Source organism: Homo sapiens, chromosome 12 (assembly GCF_000001405.40).
Source record: "Homo sapiens chromosome 12, GRCh38.p14 Primary Assembly".
NCBI lineage: Eukaryota > Metazoa > Chordata > Mammalia > Primates > Hominidae > Homo > Homo sapiens.
This window is the reverse complement of record NC_000012.12, coordinates 117,181,060-117,199,897: the sequence shown is the minus strand read 5'-3', so window position 1 is coordinate 117,199,897 and position 18,838 is coordinate 117,181,060. Positions and strand designations below refer to the sequence as shown.

At 45.8% G+C, this 18,838-nt stretch overlaps 1 protein-coding gene across 4 annotated transcripts in view, besides 4 other annotated features; it reads left to right on the top strand.

Moving 5' to 3' along the window:
• Nucleotides 9,212-9,271: a silencer, noted in NCBI's record as "silent region_4917". NCBI's record gives its function as "represses an Ori minimal core promoter by ATAC-STARR-seq in GM12878 lymphoblastoid cells {active_cell/tissue: GM12878}" and the evidence as "EXISTENCE:reporter gene assay evidence [ECO:0000049][PMID:35858748]".
• Nucleotides 9,312-9,411: a silencer, noted in NCBI's record as "silent region_4916". NCBI's record gives its function as "represses an Ori minimal core promoter by ATAC-STARR-seq in GM12878 lymphoblastoid cells {active_cell/tissue: GM12878}" and the evidence as "EXISTENCE:reporter gene assay evidence [ECO:0000049][PMID:35858748]".
• The window catches only part of FBXO21 (F-box protein 21), a 48,480-nt gene continuing 39,069 nt past the window's right edge, over nt 9,428-18,838 (top strand). For all 4 annotated transcript variants that reach the window (XM_017019038.3, XM_017019037.3, NM_015002.3 and 1 more), the window contains exons 1-3: nt 9,428-9,680; nt 10,536-10,671; nt 13,327-13,421. In XM_017019038.3, the coding sequence (XP_016874527.1) occupies nt 9,442-9,680; nt 10,536-10,671; nt 13,327-13,421 (470 nt within the window). In that variant the 5' untranslated portion in view covers nt 9,428-9,441. The remainder of the gene's footprint in view (nt 9,681-10,535; nt 10,672-13,326; nt 13,422-18,838) is intronic.
• Nucleotides 9,692-9,741: a silencer, noted in NCBI's record as "silent region_4915". NCBI's record gives its function as "represses an Ori minimal core promoter by ATAC-STARR-seq in GM12878 lymphoblastoid cells {active_cell/tissue: GM12878}" and the evidence as "EXISTENCE:reporter gene assay evidence [ECO:0000049][PMID:35858748]".
• Nucleotides 10,212-10,301: an enhancer, noted in NCBI's record as "active region_7104". NCBI's record gives its function as "activates an Ori minimal core promoter by ATAC-STARR-seq in GM12878 lymphoblastoid cells {active_cell/tissue: GM12878}" and the evidence as "EXISTENCE:reporter gene assay evidence [ECO:0000049][PMID:35858748]".

Sequence of the window (18,838 nt, the reverse complement as noted above, 5' to 3'; positions counted from 1 at the left end):
CTCGATGTACGTTCAATAACTATTTCAGCAAAACTGAGCAGAAGCTGTGTTTTCATAGAAGTTGCCTTCTTTTTTTTTTTTTTTTTTTTTTTTTTTTTTTGTTTGAGACAAGCTCTCGCTCTATCACCCAGGCTGGATTGTAGTGGCGTGATCATGGCTCACTGCAGCCTCGACCTCCTAGGCTCAAATGATCCTCCCACCTTAGCCTCTCAAAGTCCTGAGATTATAGGCATGAGCCACCCCGCCCAGCTGAGGTTGCCTTTTTTTTTTTTTTTTTTTTTTTGAGACAGAGTCTCAATCTGTTGCCCAGGCTGGCGTGCAGTGGCATGATCTTGGCTCACTGCAACATCCACCTCCCAGGTTCAAACAATTCTGCTGCCTCAGCCTCCCGAGTATCTGGGATTATAGGCATGTGCCACCACACCCTGCTAATTTTTTTTTTTTTTTTTTTTTTTTGGTATTTTTTAGTAGAGACAGGGTTTCACCATGTTGGCAAGGTTGGCCTTGAACTCCTGACCTCAGGTGATCCACCCACCTCGGCCTCTCAGAATGCTGGCATTACAGGCGTGAGCCACTGTGCCCAGCCAGTTGCTATATTATAGAAAGAGATTTGATGGAAGTGATGAAGCTTAACTTTAAGGCCCCTCCCTTGGAAAGATCCCTCCCTTCCAAGGCCACTTATTTTCTCATTCTACATACTCTTTCTAGTACTCTTGTGTACTTGTGAATTCATCCTTGTGTATCTCTTTTCTAAAACAGGGCCTCCAGGCCAGGTGTGATGGCGCACACCTGTAATCCCAGCACTTTGGGAGACCGAGGCAGGCAGATCACTTGAGGTCAGGAGTTTGAGACCAGTCTGGCCAACATGGTGAAACACCATCTCTACCAAAAATATAAAAATTAGTTGGGCATGATGATGTGTGCCTATAGTCCCAGCTACTTGGGAGGCTGAGGTGAGAGAATCGCTTAAACCTGGGAGGCGGAGGTTGCAGTAAGCCAAGATCACGCCATTGCACTCCAGCCTGGGCTACAGAGCGAGACTTACAGTCTAGCCTAGGCAACAGAGCAAGACTCCGTCTTAAAATAAAATACAATAAAATAGGGCCTCCAAACAGCGTAAGCTCCGGGCTCCACTAAACCCAGATCTGCCCCTGCGGGAGGGTGAATCTAGTAATCATGGCCATGTATGCATTCCTACAGTTTGTGAGTGTGTACTGAATGAAAGGCATAGGGTTCTGAGAAGGCACAAGGCAGAAGGAGCTTGCCTAGCCTGGGTTCATGGACTTGTGTTCCTACAGAGGAGCACTTGAGCAGAAATCTGAAAGATGAGTAGGTGTGGCTGAGGAGGCACTCCTGGGAAAAGGAACCGTATCAGCAAAGGCCCTCAGGTGGGCAGAGAAGTGGACCAGAAAAGAAAGGATGTAAGTACTAATTATGAGGACAAGGAACACTGTAGGGACTAAGGGAAACTTCCCCTTTGCCCTCAGAAGTTTCACTGAAAAATCAACTCACAAAAGGCAGATTAATAAGAGAAAAGGCCTTTGGGAGGCCAAGGCAGGAGGATTGCTTGAAGCCAGGTATTCAAAACCAGCCTGGGCAACAGTGCAAGCTCCCATCTCTATAAAAATTTTTTTTTAAATAGCCAGGCATAGGCCAGGCGCGATGGCTCACGCCTGTAATCCCAGCATTTTGGGAGGCCGAAGCAGCTGGATCACCTGAGGTCAGGAGTTCAAGATCAGCCTGGCCAACATGGTGAAACCCCGTCTCTACTAAAAATACAAAAAAATTAGCTGGGTGTGGTGGCAGACATCTGTAATCCCAGCTACTCAGGAGGCTGAGGCAGGAGGATTGCTTGAACCCAAGAGGTGGAGGTTGCAGTGAGCCAAGATCACACCACTGCACTCCAGTCTGGGCAACAAGAGCGAAACTCTATCTCAAAAAATAAAATAGCCAGGCATGGTGGCACACACGTGTAGTCCCAGTTACTTGGGAGGCTGAGCCAGGAGGATGGCTTCATCCCAGAAGTTCAAGGCTGCAGTGAGCTATTACTGCTCTACTGCACTCCAGTCTGGTCAACAGAGCAAGACCCTGTCTCCAAAACAAAAAGAGAGAGAAAGAGAGAATGGGCATACAAATTTATGAACATGCACACGGAAGAGGCCCACCAAAAGATTACTCACCTCCCCGCTGCCATGGAGTTTGGAAACTTATTAACATCTTAAAATTACAGAAAGAATGGGAGCTTGGATCTTGGCAAAACAGGTGTGGACAGTGTTGAGGGTAGTTGAAATGGTATCTGCGGCTAGATTGTGGAGATTTCACTGGAGAGGGGTGTTGACCTCGCCAGCCAAAAATAACGAGAAATTCATCTGTAGTCCAACAAAGATAAGTTTTTACCTTGCTGCAGCAAGGGAGAGGCCACCCTAGAGGACCACTGGGAAGCCAGGGAGGAGGGATCCCAGAGGGACTTATTCTAGGATTTGAGTTTGTGCAGGGTGATTTTAGCAGGGACTGTGGGATAGAGCAGGAACTCCCAAGCATGGAAATGAAGAAAAATTTTGAGTTCCTTCAAGGGAAATTCCAGGCACCTCGCTAGTAATTCCAGGCACCTTGCTGAGAAGTAAATGAGTGACTTGATAAGCAAGAAGGTAATAGTAGCTCAAAACACTAGCAAGAAAGTTAGAATCATGGGATGTCTGGTTCGCTTACAGAAACTAAGGATAGTGTCTTAACACACGTCTGTGGGTTGTTTTTCAGGATCCCAGACCCCCACCAAACAGACCCACTGGCCGTAGACCTCACATAAAGAGAAACTGAGGACCGAACCCTGACCACTGTTTTTTGTTCTAAATTTCTTCCTGTGGGGTCTAGAGGAGATCACGGCTACCAGCCAGAGCTAACATTCTTTACTGCAAATCTCAATTTTTTTAGACAAAGCTTCACCTCCTTAACCAAATACAAGTCAAAAAATCTTTGAATCCAGGGCCCTGCACAGTGGCTAACGCCTGTAATCCCAGCACTTTGGGAGGCCAAAGCGGGCGGCTCACAAGGTCAAGAGATCGAGACCATCTTGACCAACATGGTGAAACCCCGTCTCTACTAAAAATGCAAAAAATTAGCTGGGTGTGGTGGCGTGCGCCTGTAGTCCCAGCTACAGAGACTGAGGCAGGAGAATCACTTGAACCCAGGAGGCAGAGGTAGAAGTGAGCTGAAATCGTGCCACTGCACTCCAGCCTGGCGACAGAGTGAGACTGTGTCTCAAAAAAACAAAAAACAAAAAACACAACAACAAAAAACCTTTGAATCTACCTATGACCTGTGGGCCTCTGCTTCCAAATGTCCCGCCTTTTTAGGTCAAACCAATGGATAGCCTCCATGTAATTGATTTATGGCTTTGCCTGTAACCTCTGCCTCCTTGCCTTTAAAAACTCTTACCTGTGGGCAGGCACGGTGGCTCACGCCTGTAATTCCAGCACTTTGGGAGGCCGAGGCAGGTGGATCACCTGAGGTCAGGAGTTCAACACCAGCCTGGTCAACATCATGAAACCCTGCCTCTACTAAAAATACAAAAATTAGCCAGGTGTGGTGGTGCATGCCTGTAATCCCAGCTACTCAGGAGGCTGAGAAGCAAGAGAATCGCTTGAACCTGGGAGGCAGAGGTTGTTACAGTGAGCTGAGATAGTGCCATTGCACTCCAGCCTGAGCAACAGAGCAAGACTCCGTCTCAAACAAACAAACTAAAAAACTCTTACCTGTAAGCCATCAGGGAGTTTGAGTCTTAAACCATGAGCTCCCCAATTCTCCTTGATTGGGGCCCTGCAATAAATGCCTCACTTTCCCTCACTGCAATCCCAATGTCAGTGTTTGGCTTTGCTGTGCAGGCCAAGAGGACCCCAATTAGGTTCAATTAGGGTTGAGGGGACCAGCTGGATATAGTCAGGGCGTGAGGCCAGTTCAGCAAAAGGGTATCCTAGGGGAAATTTAAAAACAGAGTTTTCCCTATGCCAAAAAGGAAAGAGACTCATTCCCTTCTTCCTTTCTTGGAGAATTTCCTTGAGAAAATTTGTGTTTGTAATTATATCTTCTGTCCCTTTGATAGGTATGTAAATCTTTTGTGTGTGCGCCATTCTTTCATACAATCCCACCGGGCCCTGGACACTCTCACCAACATCCCATACTTCCTTCTCCCCTTCTGTACATTTCATGGACCCCAGGGTAGGAGGGGCTGGGTGAGGGTTCGGGATCCCCCTCCTGCCATCCTAACTAAGCATCTGGGGTACCAGCCCTGCTGCCAAGTGATCTTGTCCCTAGCCCTCTCTCCCCAGGCTGGCATGAGTGTGTGTTTGTGCCAAGCTTCTATTTCATATTGCAAATATAAATCAAGGAAAACAATTTAAGTTAAAATGAAAGAAAAAGAAGGCTGGGCGCCATGGCTCACACCCGTAATTCCAGCACTTTGGGAAGCCGAGGCGGGAGTTCAGGAATTGGAGACCAGCCTGCACAACATGGTGAAACCCCATCTCTACAAAAAAAAAATGCAAAAATTAGTCGGGCTTGGTGGTGTGTGCCTGCAGCCCCAGCTACTCAGGAGCCTAAGGTGGGAGGCTGGCTTGAGTCCAGGAGGCAGAAGTTGCTGTGAGCCGAGATGACGCCACTGTACTCTAACCTGGATGACAGAGTGAAACTCTCTCTCAAAAAAAAAAAAAAAAAAAAGAGGCCGGGCGCGGTGACTCATGCCTGTAATCCCAGCACTTTGGGAGGCTGAGGTGGGCGAATCACCTGAGGTCGGGAATTCGAGACCAGCCTGACCAACATGGAGAAATCCCATCTCTACTAAAAACACAAAATTAGCCAGGTGTGGTGGTGTATGCCTGTTATCCCAGCTACTTGGGAGGCTGAGGCAGGAGAATCACTTGAACCCCGGGAGGCGGAGGTTGCAGTGAGCCAAGATCCGGCCATTGCACTCCAGCCTGGGCAACAGGAGCGAAACTCCATCTCAAAAAATAATAAAGAAAAAAGAAAGAAACAAAGAAAAGAGAGAGAGGAAGGAAGGAAGGGAAAGAAAGAAAGAAAAAAGAAGGAAAGAAAGAAAGAAAGAAAAAAGAAGGAAAGAAAGAAAGAAAGAAAGAAAGAAAGAAAGAAAGAAAGAAAGAAAGAAAGAAAGAAAAAAAGCCAGCCAGGCATGGTGGCTCACGTCTGTAATCTCGGCACTTTGGGAGGCCGAAGTGGGTGGATCACCTGAGGTCAGGAGTTCAAGACCAGCCTGGCCAACATGGTGAAACCCCATCTCTACTAAAAATACAAAATTAGCTGGATGTGGTGGCACATGTCTGCAATTCCAGCTACTTGGAGGGCTGAGGCAGGAGAATCTCTTGAACCCGGGAGGTGAAGGTTGCAGTGAGCAGAGATCATGCCACTTCACTCCAGCCTGGGTGACAGGAGCAAAACTCTGTCTCAAAAAAAAAAAAAAGAAAAAAAAGAAAAGAAAAGAAAAAAGAAAGAAGAAGGAAAGAGAGAGAGAGACGACAGAAAGAAAGAAGAAAATAAAAAGAAAGAGAAAAGAAAAAGGAGACTGCCACTGTCCACATTCTCCATATTCTTCCTCTGTTTTATCTCTTTCTTCCCAGTACTTATCACTGCCTAAGGATAGCACTGATGAGTCCTGATAGTATTGGCGGTATCCGCTGTCACCTATGCTAATATCTCGGCTCTGTGACCAGGGCATTTGTGACTTTACCCTGTTCACCTTTGTACCCACATTGCCAAAAACAGAGCAGTCACTAAATTTGGGTTTATTTGTTACACAGCAATACTAACTGATGTATATGTCTTATTTAATAGCAAGATAGATTTTTATCCCTGTTTTATAGATTAGGAAACTGAGGCTTACAGAAATTAACCTCTGTTGGGCATTTGGTTATGGATGGTGAGGGAGAAAGAGGTAGCAAGGATGGTGACAAGTTCATGTTTTACAGGAATGGATGAATGAGTAGCCCTTCCTAAGGCAGGAACTACTAAGAGAAGACAAGGTAAAGTGGAGAAGAAAGATCATGAGTTTCCTCCTGGATAAGTTGAGTTTGAAGGGCCCAAAGGGAATGGCAGGTGAGCAGGCTAAGCCAGACTAGATCCCAGAGGAGCGGGTGGGGCAGAAGAGAGAAATGTGGATATTTCGATTGGATCTGGATCATCATTCGAGTTGTGGACAGAGGCAAGATAGTGAAAGAAGAGGGCTGGCTGAGGCCCAAGATACCTCAACATGTAACATCTGAGTGGCTGCAAAGAAGATGGAGAAGGTGCAGCCCCAGAGGTGAGAGGAGAACCGGGAGACAGTGGAGTCACAAAGGCTTTGTCTTGTCTTGCTCTGTCACCCAGGCTGGAGTGCAATGGTGTAGTCATAGTTCACTGCAACCTTGAACACCTAGGCTCAAGTGATCCTCCCACCTCAGCCTCCCGAGTAACTGGAACTACAGGTTTAAGCCGCCATGCTGGTAAAATTTAATCATTTTAAAGAGAACAATTCAGTGGCATTTAGTATATTCCCAATGCTGTGCAACCACCACCACCACCTCTATCTACTTCCAAAACATTTCCATCACCCCAAAGTAAATCCATATCCAGGCCAGGCACGATGGCTCACACCTGTAATCCCAGCACCTTGGGAGGCCGAGGCAGGTAGATCATGAGGTCAGGAGTTCAAGACCAGCCTGGCCAACGTGGTGAAACTGTCTCTACAAAAATACAAAAATTAGCCAGGCATGGTGGCATGCTCCTGTAATCCCAGCTACTCGGGAGGCTGAGGCGGAAGAATCTCTTGAACCCAGGAGGCCAAAGTTGCAGGGAGCCGAGATCGTGCCATTGCACTCCAGCGTGGGCAACAGAGTGAGACTCTGCCTCAAAAAACAAACAAACAAACCAAAAAACCCATATCCATTGAGCCATTTCTCCCTGCTTCCCACACAGTTTTGTCAAGCAATTTTTTTTTCGTTTCGTTTTTTCTGAGACAGCATCTTGTTCTGTCACCCAGGCTGGAGTGCAAAGGCATGATCTCGGCTCACTGCAACCTCCACCTCCCTGGTTCAAGCGATTCTTCTGCCTCAATCTCGCAAGTAGCTGGGATTACAGGCACCTGGCATCATGCCCGGCTAGTTTTTGCATTTTTGTAGAGATGGGGTTTCACCATGTTGGTCAGGCTGGTCTCGAACTCCTGACCTCAGGTGATCTGCCTGCCTTGGCCTCCCAAGGTGCTGGGATTACAGGTGTGAGCTACCGCATCCGGCTCAAGGATTTTTTCTATACCAGCCACTGTTCTATGCCCCTCACATGAATTTCCTCATTTAATTCTCATGACAGCCCCAGGAGACAGGCATTATTATTATTAATTATTATTCCCATTTTACAGATAAAAAACTGGGCCTCAGAAAGGCTAAGTAACTTCCCTAGTCAAACAGCTGGTTAGACTATCGCAATCAATAGATAATTGAGAATCTGCTCTGTGCAGGGCATGGGTCAAGTAACTAGGCTTCTAGAGGTGACTCAGACACAGTCCTAGCACTGAACTCCCTTCAGATTTAGTGGGAAAGATGCATGTTGAATAGTTGTAAGTTAAGTAATTACAAGACTGCAAAATGCTGGGCAGGAGCCATATCTGGTGCTGGTGCTGGGGCGGGGGAAGGGAGAGCATTTGGAAAGGTTAAGCTGAGCCCTGGAGGAAGAGGAGGAGCTACTGGAAGGGGAGGACTGCATGAAGTGCCTTGCAGGCAGCAGGAATAGTATATGTAGGGCCAGAAATGGGAGGAAAGAGATGACCAGCCTTGCTGGGGTATGCATGGCTAGTGAGAGAGAAAGACTTCAGATAGGTAAGAAGAGGTGGAGTTTGTTGCTTTGCAACAATGTTTGGGATGTCACATTCATTTCTACGGGAAATAGGGAGCCACAGATGGCTCAACGCCATCCATTGAGAGTCACTTTACTAGTTCAGCTCTCTCAGGGCATCTTGATTTCCAAGTTGCCAGGAGTACTTCATTGGACCCTCCATGTACTGACAACAGATCCTTCTAACTGTAATTGCACTTTGAGGTTTTGAAGCAAAGACTCCATTTTTCTCACCCCTGTATCCCCAGGGCACACAACACAGGGCTTTGGCACTGAACTAAACTGATTTTTTTTTTTTAATGTGCAGATCCTGAGACTACCCTCCCAATCCTGAGTGATAACTCCCGCTTTGAAGACTCAAATCCAGGCTTTAGCACTTTTGTCTCTGTAACTTTGAACCAGTGACTGCCACCTGGAAGAACTTTGCCTTTTCTGTAGAATAGGTATAACTGTGGTACCTATTGTGGGAGGTCAGACTATGCTCCCCAAATATGAAGGATTGTTGAGCTGGAAACAATTAAGAAACCAGTACAGGAGAGCTCTCTGCCTGCCCTCTATTAGCCTAAAATCAGGGCACACATTTGAGGATTATTATTACTCCCCTACACCATCATAGAGGGCTTCCCATAGCACCCACTCAAGAATATTGTTATTATTACATCATATGGTTAAGATTACTGACAAGCAAAAGTCAAGTGGATCTGAAATAGAATCCAAGACAAGGGGCTGGGCGCGGTGGCTCACGCCTGTAATCCCAGCACTTTGGGAGGCCGAGGTGGGTGGATCATTTGAGGTCAGGAGTTCGAGACCAGCCTGACCAACATGGTGAAACCCTGTCTCTACTAAAAATACAAAAATTAGCTGGCTGTGGTGGCGGGCGCCTGTAATCCCAGCTACTCGGGAGGCTGACGCAGGATAATTGCTTGAACCAGGGAGGTGGAAGTTGCAGTGAGCCGAGATCACGGCCACTGCACTCCAACCTGGGTGGTGGCGCGCGCCTGTAATCCCATCCGCACGGGAGGCTGAGGCAGGAGAATCGCTTGAACCCAGGAGGCAGAGGTTGCAGTGAGCCGAGATAGCGCCACTGCCCTCCAGCCTGGGTGAGAGCAAGACTCCTTCCCAAAGGGGGAAAAAAAATCCAAGACAAGGGATCCTGAGCAAGCCCTCTCACTCTCCGAACCTGTTTCCCCATCTGTAATATGGGGAGAAAGTTCGCAGGGTAATTCGGAAAGGTCCAATGCGCACAGAAAGCGCTCAGCACGCGTGAGAATAGATACCATTTTTATTTGTTAATTTTAAACATTAATTACGTTTAAAAGAATCAGTGCTACTATTGTTGTCCCGGACTAGAGGCGGCTTGCGCTGCCGGCTCCAAGCACAGAGCCCAATTATGTCCTCCCTTTTGCGGCGCTGCCACCCGCGCAGCCCCCAGCCGATGCAGGGGAGGTGTGGCCCGCGGATGGGCGGAGCGATCTCAGGACTCGCCCCCAAGACCAGTAGGCGGGGCCAGGCGGGGCGCCCGGGCACTCTCGCACGCGCGCGCGCGGCGGCCCCAGGTACGCGGACAAGATGGCGGCGGCAGCAGTCGACAGCGCGATGGAGGTGGTGCCGGCGCTGGCGGAGGAGGCCGCGCCGGAGGTAGCGGGCCTCAGCTGCCTCGTCAACCTGCCGGGTGAGGTGCTGGAGTACATCCTGTGCTGCGGCTCGCTGACGGCCGCCGACATCGGCCGTGTCTCCAGCACCTGCCGGCGGCTGCGCGAGCTGTGCCAGAGCAGCGGGAAGGTGTGGAAGGAGCAGTTCCGGGTGAGGTGAGCCAGCGGCCCCGCGCCCCGGCTGCGCGCCCACCGCCCCGCGCCCCCCGGGGCCGGGCAGCCGCCCCGCTAGCTCCCCGCGGCCGCCCCGCGCGCGGACCCCACCCCGGACCCCTTCCCGCGGACAGACAGACAAAGGCCTCCAGGCCCCGGACCCTGCGGGGCCACGCCAGGCGGACCCCCGGGTCCCCAAATGGCGCATCTAGGAGCGCCTCGCAGCCGGGTCCTCCGTCAAGGGTGACGCTGGCGGCGGCGCGGCTCGTCCCTTTTGCGCGCTTCTTTTGTGCCCGACTTCGGGCTGAAATGTTTACATGGACCCAGTGATGCATCGATCGGGCGGGCGCAGCATCCCCGGGCTGGTTGTGGACGGCACAGATTTCAGCGTGGCCCCAGGATGAAATCTGGCCCTGCACACTCCCTCTGTGACCTTGGGGGGAGCGACTTCCCTTTTTTTGAGCCTCGTTCATAGACTTTGAGTGGTGGTGATCATTAGACCTACCTTTCACCGTGTTTATTAAATTAGATGATGTCCGGGAGGCACGCACGCAGGGCCCCGGCTCCTAGGAGGCGCTCAATCAGTGCTCACTGTCATTGTCATTATTATTATTGTTGTTGTTGTTACAACTGTCCCCATTTTAGAGATGGGGAATGGAGACATCATTCATGCCGCTACGCCAAGGTCACACCGGGAGTGAGTGAGTGAATGCTGGTGGGGTTTTGAACTAGGTCTCTCGCCGGGGTCCCTCTTACCACTGGACGCCACTGCTGTCCCTGTTTCCAAGGCTGCCTTGGATTCGTGGCCGCCTGCCTTTGAGTTTCTGTTAAGCTGAGGGGGTGTTTCTCTCCTCGTAGGTGGCCTTCCCTTATGAAACACTACAGCCCCACCGACTACGTCAATTGGTTGGAAGAGTATAAAGTTCGGCAAAAAGCTGGGTTAGAAGCGCGGAAGATTGTAGCCTCGTTCTCAAAGAGGTTCTTTTCAGAGCACGTAAGGATCTGTTGATGTGGCTCTAAGCTTTGGCTTGCTGGTGTATGTGTCTGGGTCTGCAGGCATGAGCTCATCCAGCTCTTTTCGTATCTCCCTTTTCAATGCTCTCACAATCCCTTACTCACTTAGATGGCTGCAAGAGTCATTGTGTCCTTTTCCTCCTATCCAACAACACGAAGCCATTTGTCTGTGCCAGCTTTACTTTTCTAAAGCCAGAGAGAGAGTGGGGGTGGAGGGAGCAGGGAGGGACCCACGCAGCACAATGTAGACGGAGTCCAGATCAGCATTATTTCTCAAATGGGTTCAACGGATTTTTTTTGCAACCCCTCCGTTATTTGGGGAATCATCAATGATTGAACACTGTAAATTTCTCCCGGTTGTTTTCCCAGAAGGGTTGACGAAATTAATGTGGTTCTTCTCTCTGGCTTTGCAGGTTCTACCCAGTAGTGAACTGCATTATTTGTTAAGGTAACAGAGGATTAAAAGCTACCTATAAATCAGAGTTATTACTCCCTGAAATGAATTGTCTTGCATTCATTATCCCTGAAAAGTTTTTGGGTTTTTTTTTTTTTTTAAGTATTGCAGAAATACATGGTGGGTTTTTTTTGTTTTGTTTTGTTTTGTTTTCTTTTTTTCTTTCCTCAAAATGTCTCATGGAAGTTTCTTTCTTTTTTCTTTTTTTGAGACAGAGTCTTGCTTTGTCTCCCCGGCTGGAGTGCAGTGGCGCAATCTCAGCTCACTGCAACCTCCTACTCCTGGGCTCGAGCAATTCTCATGTCTCAGCCTCCCGAGTAGCCGGGACTACAGGCATGCGCCACCATACCTGGATAATTTTTGTATTTTTAGTAGAGTTGGGGTTTCACCATGTTGGTCAGGCTGGTCTTGAACACCTGGTCTCAAGTGATCCGCCGGCCTCTGCAAACCAAAGTGTTGGGATTACAGGCGTGAGCCACCGTGCCTGGCCTCACGGAAGTTTCTGTATCTGCCCCTGATCCCTTTTTGTAACTCTGGAAAATAATCCACACTAATGTTTTGAGTTCAACAAACTATTCGATATTTATTTCTGGTTGGGGTTCTAGAAATAGAGCCAATCTGATTTATTTCACTTTTTTGTTTTCCTAAAGACTCCTTTGGATTCTCTAATTTTAATTACTGTTAGTTAATGGAGTTAATAATTTGAAATGTTTTCAAGGCTTTTCAAGTTTTGAAAGGGAAAATTTGAACTTTGGACAAATTTGAATGTTTTCCCCTATGGAGAATACAAATAGACATTCCTTAGTGTAATTGGTTTCTATAAATATTTATTAGTGTTAGAATAAACAAAATTTGTATTTTACTTTGGAGAAGCCATGCCCTGGCTAAAAGCATTCATAATCACAAATTGTAAATGCTGATCTGAATGTGTTTGCACATACGTAGATTTTGGTACTAGCTATGTTTGGTGCAGTTGGTCATGGACTATGAGCCTGCAACCTCCATTTCTAGTCCAGCTGGTTTTGTGTATGTTTTGAACAGTCTGTGCCTCTGTGTAATAATGATGGATTGTTGTGTTTTTTCCTCAGCTCCCCCTTTTCCTGTACCACTGCTTAATTAGAAGTATGTCAAGGACTTTGAACACAGCGGGAGCATACTTAACATTAATCTGTGGGTGGGTGATTGCTTTGGCCCGGGATCTTGGCGTTCCTGTGTTCTCAGAATGCACACAGGTTGACCTGAAATGTTCTGGCTACTTGCAAAAAGAAAACTGAGAGAAGCCATAGAATTTTAAACTCAGAAGATCTTTTTTTTTTTTTTTTTTTTTTTTTTGAGACAGAGTTTCACTCTTGTTGCCCAGGCTGGAGTGCAATGGTGTGATCTCAGCTTACCGCAACCTCTGCCTCCCAGGTTCAAGTGATTCTCCTGCCTCAGCCTCCCGAGTAGCTGGGATTACTGGCATGCGCCACTACGCCTGGCTAATTTTGTATTTTTAGTAGAGATGGGGTTTCTCTATGTTGGTCAGGCTGGTCTCGAGCTCCTGACCTCAGGTGATCCGCCCACCTCAGCCTCCCGAAGTGCTGGGATTACAGGCGTGAGCCACTGCACCTGCCGCCGCCGCCTTTTTATTTTTTTTAAAACGGAGTTTCATTCTTGTTGCCCAGGCTGGAGTGCAATGGCGCAATCTTGGCTCACTGTAACCTCCGCCTCCCGGGTTCAAGTGATTCTCCTGCCTCAGCCTCCCAAGTAGCTGGGATTACAGGCATGCCTGGCTAATTTTGTATTTTTAGTAGACATGGGGTTTCACCACGTTGATCAGGCTGGTCTCAAACTCCTTACCTCAGGTTATCTGCCTGCCTTGGCCTCCCAAAGTTCTGGGATTACAGTCATGAACCACTATGGCCGGCCAGAGCTAGTTTTCTTTACGTTAGAACTGTGAGTTGTCAGTTTCAGAAATTCCAGTCTATGAAAACATCATTGATTACAAACAACAACAAAACCTCAGTAAATTATTGTTACTTTATGTTATTTTCTACCCATGACTGGTAGTGCAAGGTAGTGTAGAATAACTGTTAGCACTGTCTTTAGTAGTGGACATCTTTATTTCAGCTCAAATTTGTGAGAGTGAGAGTTGCATCAATACTCATAATTGAGGCCTACTTGTATATGTCTTCTTCATAGGTTCCTTGTAATGGCTTCAGTGACATTGAGAACCTTGAAGGACCAGAGATTTTTTTTGAGGATGAACTGGTGTGTATCCTAAATATGGAAGGAAGGTAAGCCATAGCTTTAGCAGGGATTTGTTTGCTTTAATAAGTCCAGAGTAAATTGCTGTAATTTCTGTGTGGCTAAACCCTGGAATATGTGATTCCAAATATTTCACGCCTTGTCATAGTTACAGTTTTGAAAAGTTCTGTGTATATTAGGTAGATACACCAAGACAATTGACATATAAAGAAACCTTACAAAAATCCTTTTGGAAAGAAAATGGAATTAATGTTTAGCACTACTATGGGTCAAATACTGTGCCCCAGACCCTTGTATCTGTTGTGTTGTTTAGAAACCTTTTGGTAATAGGCCAGGCACGGTGGCTCACGCCTGTAATCCCAGCACTTTGGGAGGCCGAGATGGGCGGATCACCTGAAGTCAGGAGTTCGCGACCAGCCTGGCCAACGTGGTGAAACCCCATCTCTACTTAAAAAAATACAAAAAATTAGCTGGGTGTGGTGGTACACACCTGTAATCCCAGCTACTCGGGAGGCTGAGGCAGAAGAATCATTTGAACCCGGGAGGTGGAGGTTGCAGTGAGCCGAGATTGCACCATTGCACTCCAGACTGGGGGACAAGAGCAAGACTTCGTCTCATAAAAAAAAGAAACCTTCTGGTAATATAAATCATCCTTCCTTCATTATTACCTCTCCACTTACTATCAGATTTGCCTATCATGAATTGAATCTTTTAATTTAAAAATAATAATTTCTTAGGCATGTCTTAATTTAATGGATGATTTTTTACAATTTCTGAATTGCGGTACAAAATAATCTACTTTGTTCTTTGAACACTGTAGATCTTTGGGTGAGCCTTTCTTTTATCTTCCAGTCAGAAAACTGCGTACTTAGGGACTCACTTGATCAAGAAGAACCCCTTATGTCTTGGTTATTGCTTAAAATTTCATATACCTTTTATTTTCTGCTGTGAAGGTTAATTTCCAGTTTTTCCCTGAAAGATGAGTGGGCTTCCAGCCTAACTTTCCTGTGGAAAAGACTTTCTGTTCTAAAAGTTCTGAAAACTTTCTAGTGATGGAAGATAAGAATGTTAGTTTAACATCTTCCTTAAAAGGAATCTTTGCGAAATATCTCACAAACAAGGCATGAAATATTTATGTTGTTTTTTAAAGGGGATTTAGGAGAGAGAAATATCTATCAGTGGAACAACTGTGGGTAGAGGTAAGATGTGTCACTATTCTAGGCCTTGGATGAGTTCAGATGCAGAGGTCATTTTTCCATTTCTATTTTGGTTTATCTATAAATGAATTGAAGTATGATCTAGTAGTCAGTATTGTGCAGTCTTAAAAATAAAAGCTGACTTGTGTTTTTTAATGTGCATATGTACTTTAAAATACATAAATGGGACCTCATACCTACTTTGTTGGTTGTTTTGGTTTGGTGTTTAGTACAGACCTGGTTTTTCTCTTATTTATGCTGTTTCCTTTTTCCTCCCCATTCCCTCTGTTTACATTGTCCTTTCCTGCCCCCACCTCTGTAATTCTTGATAACAGCCCAGGTTGCATTCTTCTTGCTGACAGTGATGAGTATGGGAAGGGATCATTATTGCACAAAATTGGGATCACATAATAGGTACTTTTCTATATTGTTTTTTCTCATTCAACAGTACCTTATGGAAATCCATCCTCTTCAACGGGTAAAACATCAAAATCACTATTGTTAATGTCTACTTACTCTTTTGTGGTATGTTACATAATTTATTTACTTATTTTTATTTTTTTGAGATGGAATTTCGCTCTTGTAGCCCAGGCTGGAGTGCAATGGCGTGATCTTGGCAACCTCTGCCTCCTGGGTCCAAGAGATTGTCCTGCTTCAGCCTCCTGAGTAGCTGGGATTACAGGTGCCCACCACCACACCCAGCTAATTTTGTATTTTTAGTAGAAACGGTGTTTCTCCCTCTTGGTCAGGCTGGTCTCAAACTCCTGATGTCACGTGATCTGCTGGTCTCGGCTTCCCAGAGTGCTGAGATTATGGGCGTGAGCCACCGTGCCTAGCCTACATAATTTTCCTATAGATGGACAACCACTTTTTTTTCCATTTTGTGTCACTGTGAGGAGTGATGTTTCTAGGCAGTAGAGTCCTGGGAATGGGTTTCCCAGTTCAGACTATAGGATGTTATTGAAAGACATAAAATAGATAGCATGTCCTGGAATGTGAAGACTTGCTATCACAAAAAATGTCAGTTCTCCCCAAATTAATTTATAAACCTAGTGTCATTCCAATTAGGATTCAAACAAAGTATTTTTGTTGGGGGTGGTGAGCAGGGGGGAGTTGTTTTGCTTTTTTCTTTTCTTTCATTTGGATGTCATAAAATATATACAGAAGACTAAATTCACAAGAAGAGCCAGAAAACAATTTTTCAGTAATCATAATGGGAAACTGGCATCACTAGATATTAGGCCATCTTATAAAGCTACTTATAATCCAAACAGCACAGTGATTCAATAAAAATAGCTGCATCAGTAGCAGAGGATAATTGACAAATGCATCCCAGAATAAAAGATAATTTAATATATTTAAACTCAGAGGGAAAAAATGGATTTTTAAAGAAATGGTACTGGACATAACTGAATATCCAGCTGGAAGAAAGGAAAACGTGCATCATATGCAAACATTTTTCCAAAGGATGAAACAACTGAAATTTTTAAATGATCACAGTGAACATTCCTCAAGAAAATAGGAGACTTTGTATAGTCTAAGGGAGACCACCTTAACCAAGAAGGACAATGCGGAGACAGTGAAAGAGCAGACACTTCTATATGGCCAAGAGAGCATGAACGAAGTCAGTAGAACTCAAGAGATATTGAAAAATGTTCAAAGGTTAGGAGGATGACATTCACAGAAGAACAAATCCTAACATCTAACAATCACGGAAAACTTTTAATACACTATTCAAAAAGTGTTAAATAGGCCGGGTGCAGTGGCTCACGCCTGTAATCCCAGCACTTTGGGAGGCCAAGTCCTTGGATCATCTGAGGTCAGGAGTTCGACACCAGCCTGGCCAACATGATGAAACCCTGTCTCTACAAAAAATACAAAAATTAGCCAGACATGGTGGCAGGTGCCTGTAATCCCAGCTACTGGGGAGGCTGAGGCAGGATAATTGCTTGAACCTGGGAGGCGTGGGAGGCAGAGGTTGCAGTGAGCCGAGATCGCGCCATTGCATTCCAGCCTGGGTGACAAGAGTGAAACTCCGTCTCAAAAAAAAAAAAGTGTTAAACAGCAATGAGATACTGCCATTTTACATATCAGGTTCCCAAAAAAGATGAAAATGCATAGCTAGTAAAGACATATATTATAGTGTTTTTAGAAATAAATACGAATAGGTTACCCAACACACATATTTTGACCTTAAAAAAGGATTGTTTGTTTTAGAAACAGAGTCTCACTCTTGTCACCCAGGGTGGAATGCTGTGACGCAATCATAGCTCACTGCAGACTCAAACCCCTGGGCTCAAGTGACCCTCCTGCCTCAGCCTCCCGAGTAGTTAGGACTACAGGCACTTGCCACCACACCTGGCTAATTTTTTCTATTTTTTGTATAGATGGAGTCTTGCTTTGTTGCCCAGGCAGTTACTAAACTCCTGGCCTCAAGAGATCTTCCCAGCCAGGCATGGTGGCTCACGCCTGTAATCACAGCATTTTGAGAGGCCGAGGCGGGTTGATCACTTGAGGTCAGGAGTTCAAGACCAGCCTGTCCAACATGGTAAAACCCTGCCTCTACTAAAAATACAAAAATTAGCTGGGCATGGTGGCACACGCCTGTAATCCCGGCTACTCGGGAGGCTGAGACAGGAGAATTGCTTGAACCTGGGAGGCTGAGGTTGCAGTAAGCTGAGATTGCACCACTGCACTCCAGCCTGGGCGACAGACTCGGTCCAAAAAAAAAAAAAAAAAAAAAAAGATCCTCTTGCTGTGGCCTCCCAATGTGCTGGGATTACAGGTGTGAGCCACCACGCCCAGCCCTGTTTGTTTTTTTGAGACAGGGTTTCATCCTGTTGCCCAGGCTGGAGTACAGTGGTGCAATCATGGCTCACTGTAACCTTGAATCCTGTGTTCAGGGGATCCTCTGGCCTCAGCCTCCTGAGTAGCTAGGAATACAGGCATGTACCATCATGCCTGGCTAATTTTTATTTGGTAGAGACAGTGTCTCACTATGTTTCCCAGGCTGGTCTTGAACTCTTGACTTCAAGTGATCCTCCCACCTTGGCCTTCCAAAGTACTAGGACTATAAGTGTGAGCCAACAAACAAATAAGGTTGTTTTTAAATGATAGAATACCCCGCATTTAAAAATATTTTGGGATACCAGTTTTCATGGAAGACCCTGTTTGTTTTCATTCCTGGCAAATGCTTATGGTTTGGATATGGAAAGCATGGGAAGGAAAAAGTGTAGTTTCCATAAATGCCAAAGTATCAGCTTGAAATCAGTTTGTGTTTATGATGTGCTATGTGGTCTTAAAAACGAGTATGTCCTACAATAAAGATTAGAAACAGCATATTAAAAGGGCATACACTGGGCCAGGCACAGTGGCTCACACCTGTAATCCCATGACTTTGGGAGGCTGAGGTGGGCAGATCACCTGAGGTCAGGAGTTCGAGACCAGCCTGGCCAACATGGAGAAACGCCGTCTCTACTGAAAATACAAAAAATTAGCCGGGCATGGTGGCAGGCACCTGTAATCCCAGCTACTCAAGAGGCTGAAACAAGAGAATCGCTTGAACCTGGGAAGTGGAGGTTGCAGTGAGCTGACATTATGCCGCTGCACTCCAGCCTGGGTGGCAAAGTGAGACTCTGTCTCAGATAGATAGATAGCTAGATTAGATAGATAGATAGATAGATAGATAGATAGATAGATAGATAGATAGACTGTCTCAGATAGATAGATCGATCGATCGATAGACTGTCTCAGATAGATAGATAGATATAAATAGATAGATAGATAAATTCATACATTGTACCTGAGAAAAGTGTCACAGAATGACCAATACTGAGACATACTTTAGTAAAATTGCTGGATTTTAAAGACAGGAAAGTCCTTTGAGCATCCAAGCAAAAAAGGTAAAGTCATTTATAAGGAAAAGAAAATAAGAATATCATCAGACTTTTCAACAGAATTTTTTGTGCCAAAGGAAAAAATAGCTTAAGATACTCAATGATCTAAGGAAATGTCAACCAAGGATTTTTATATCCAGCCAAACTGACTTCCAGATACAAAGACTGCACAGAAACTTAACAACTTAACAAGAATTCAGTGACTTTTCAGTCCTTCCTGAGAGATCTCCTGGAAAATGAATTTCAAATGACCAAAAACCACTCCCCGCCCCAAAAAAAACAAAACAGAGAAACACTGATATAAGGACTGGCAGTGAGCACTAAACATGTATTTATTTTTAGATTTAAATTCAA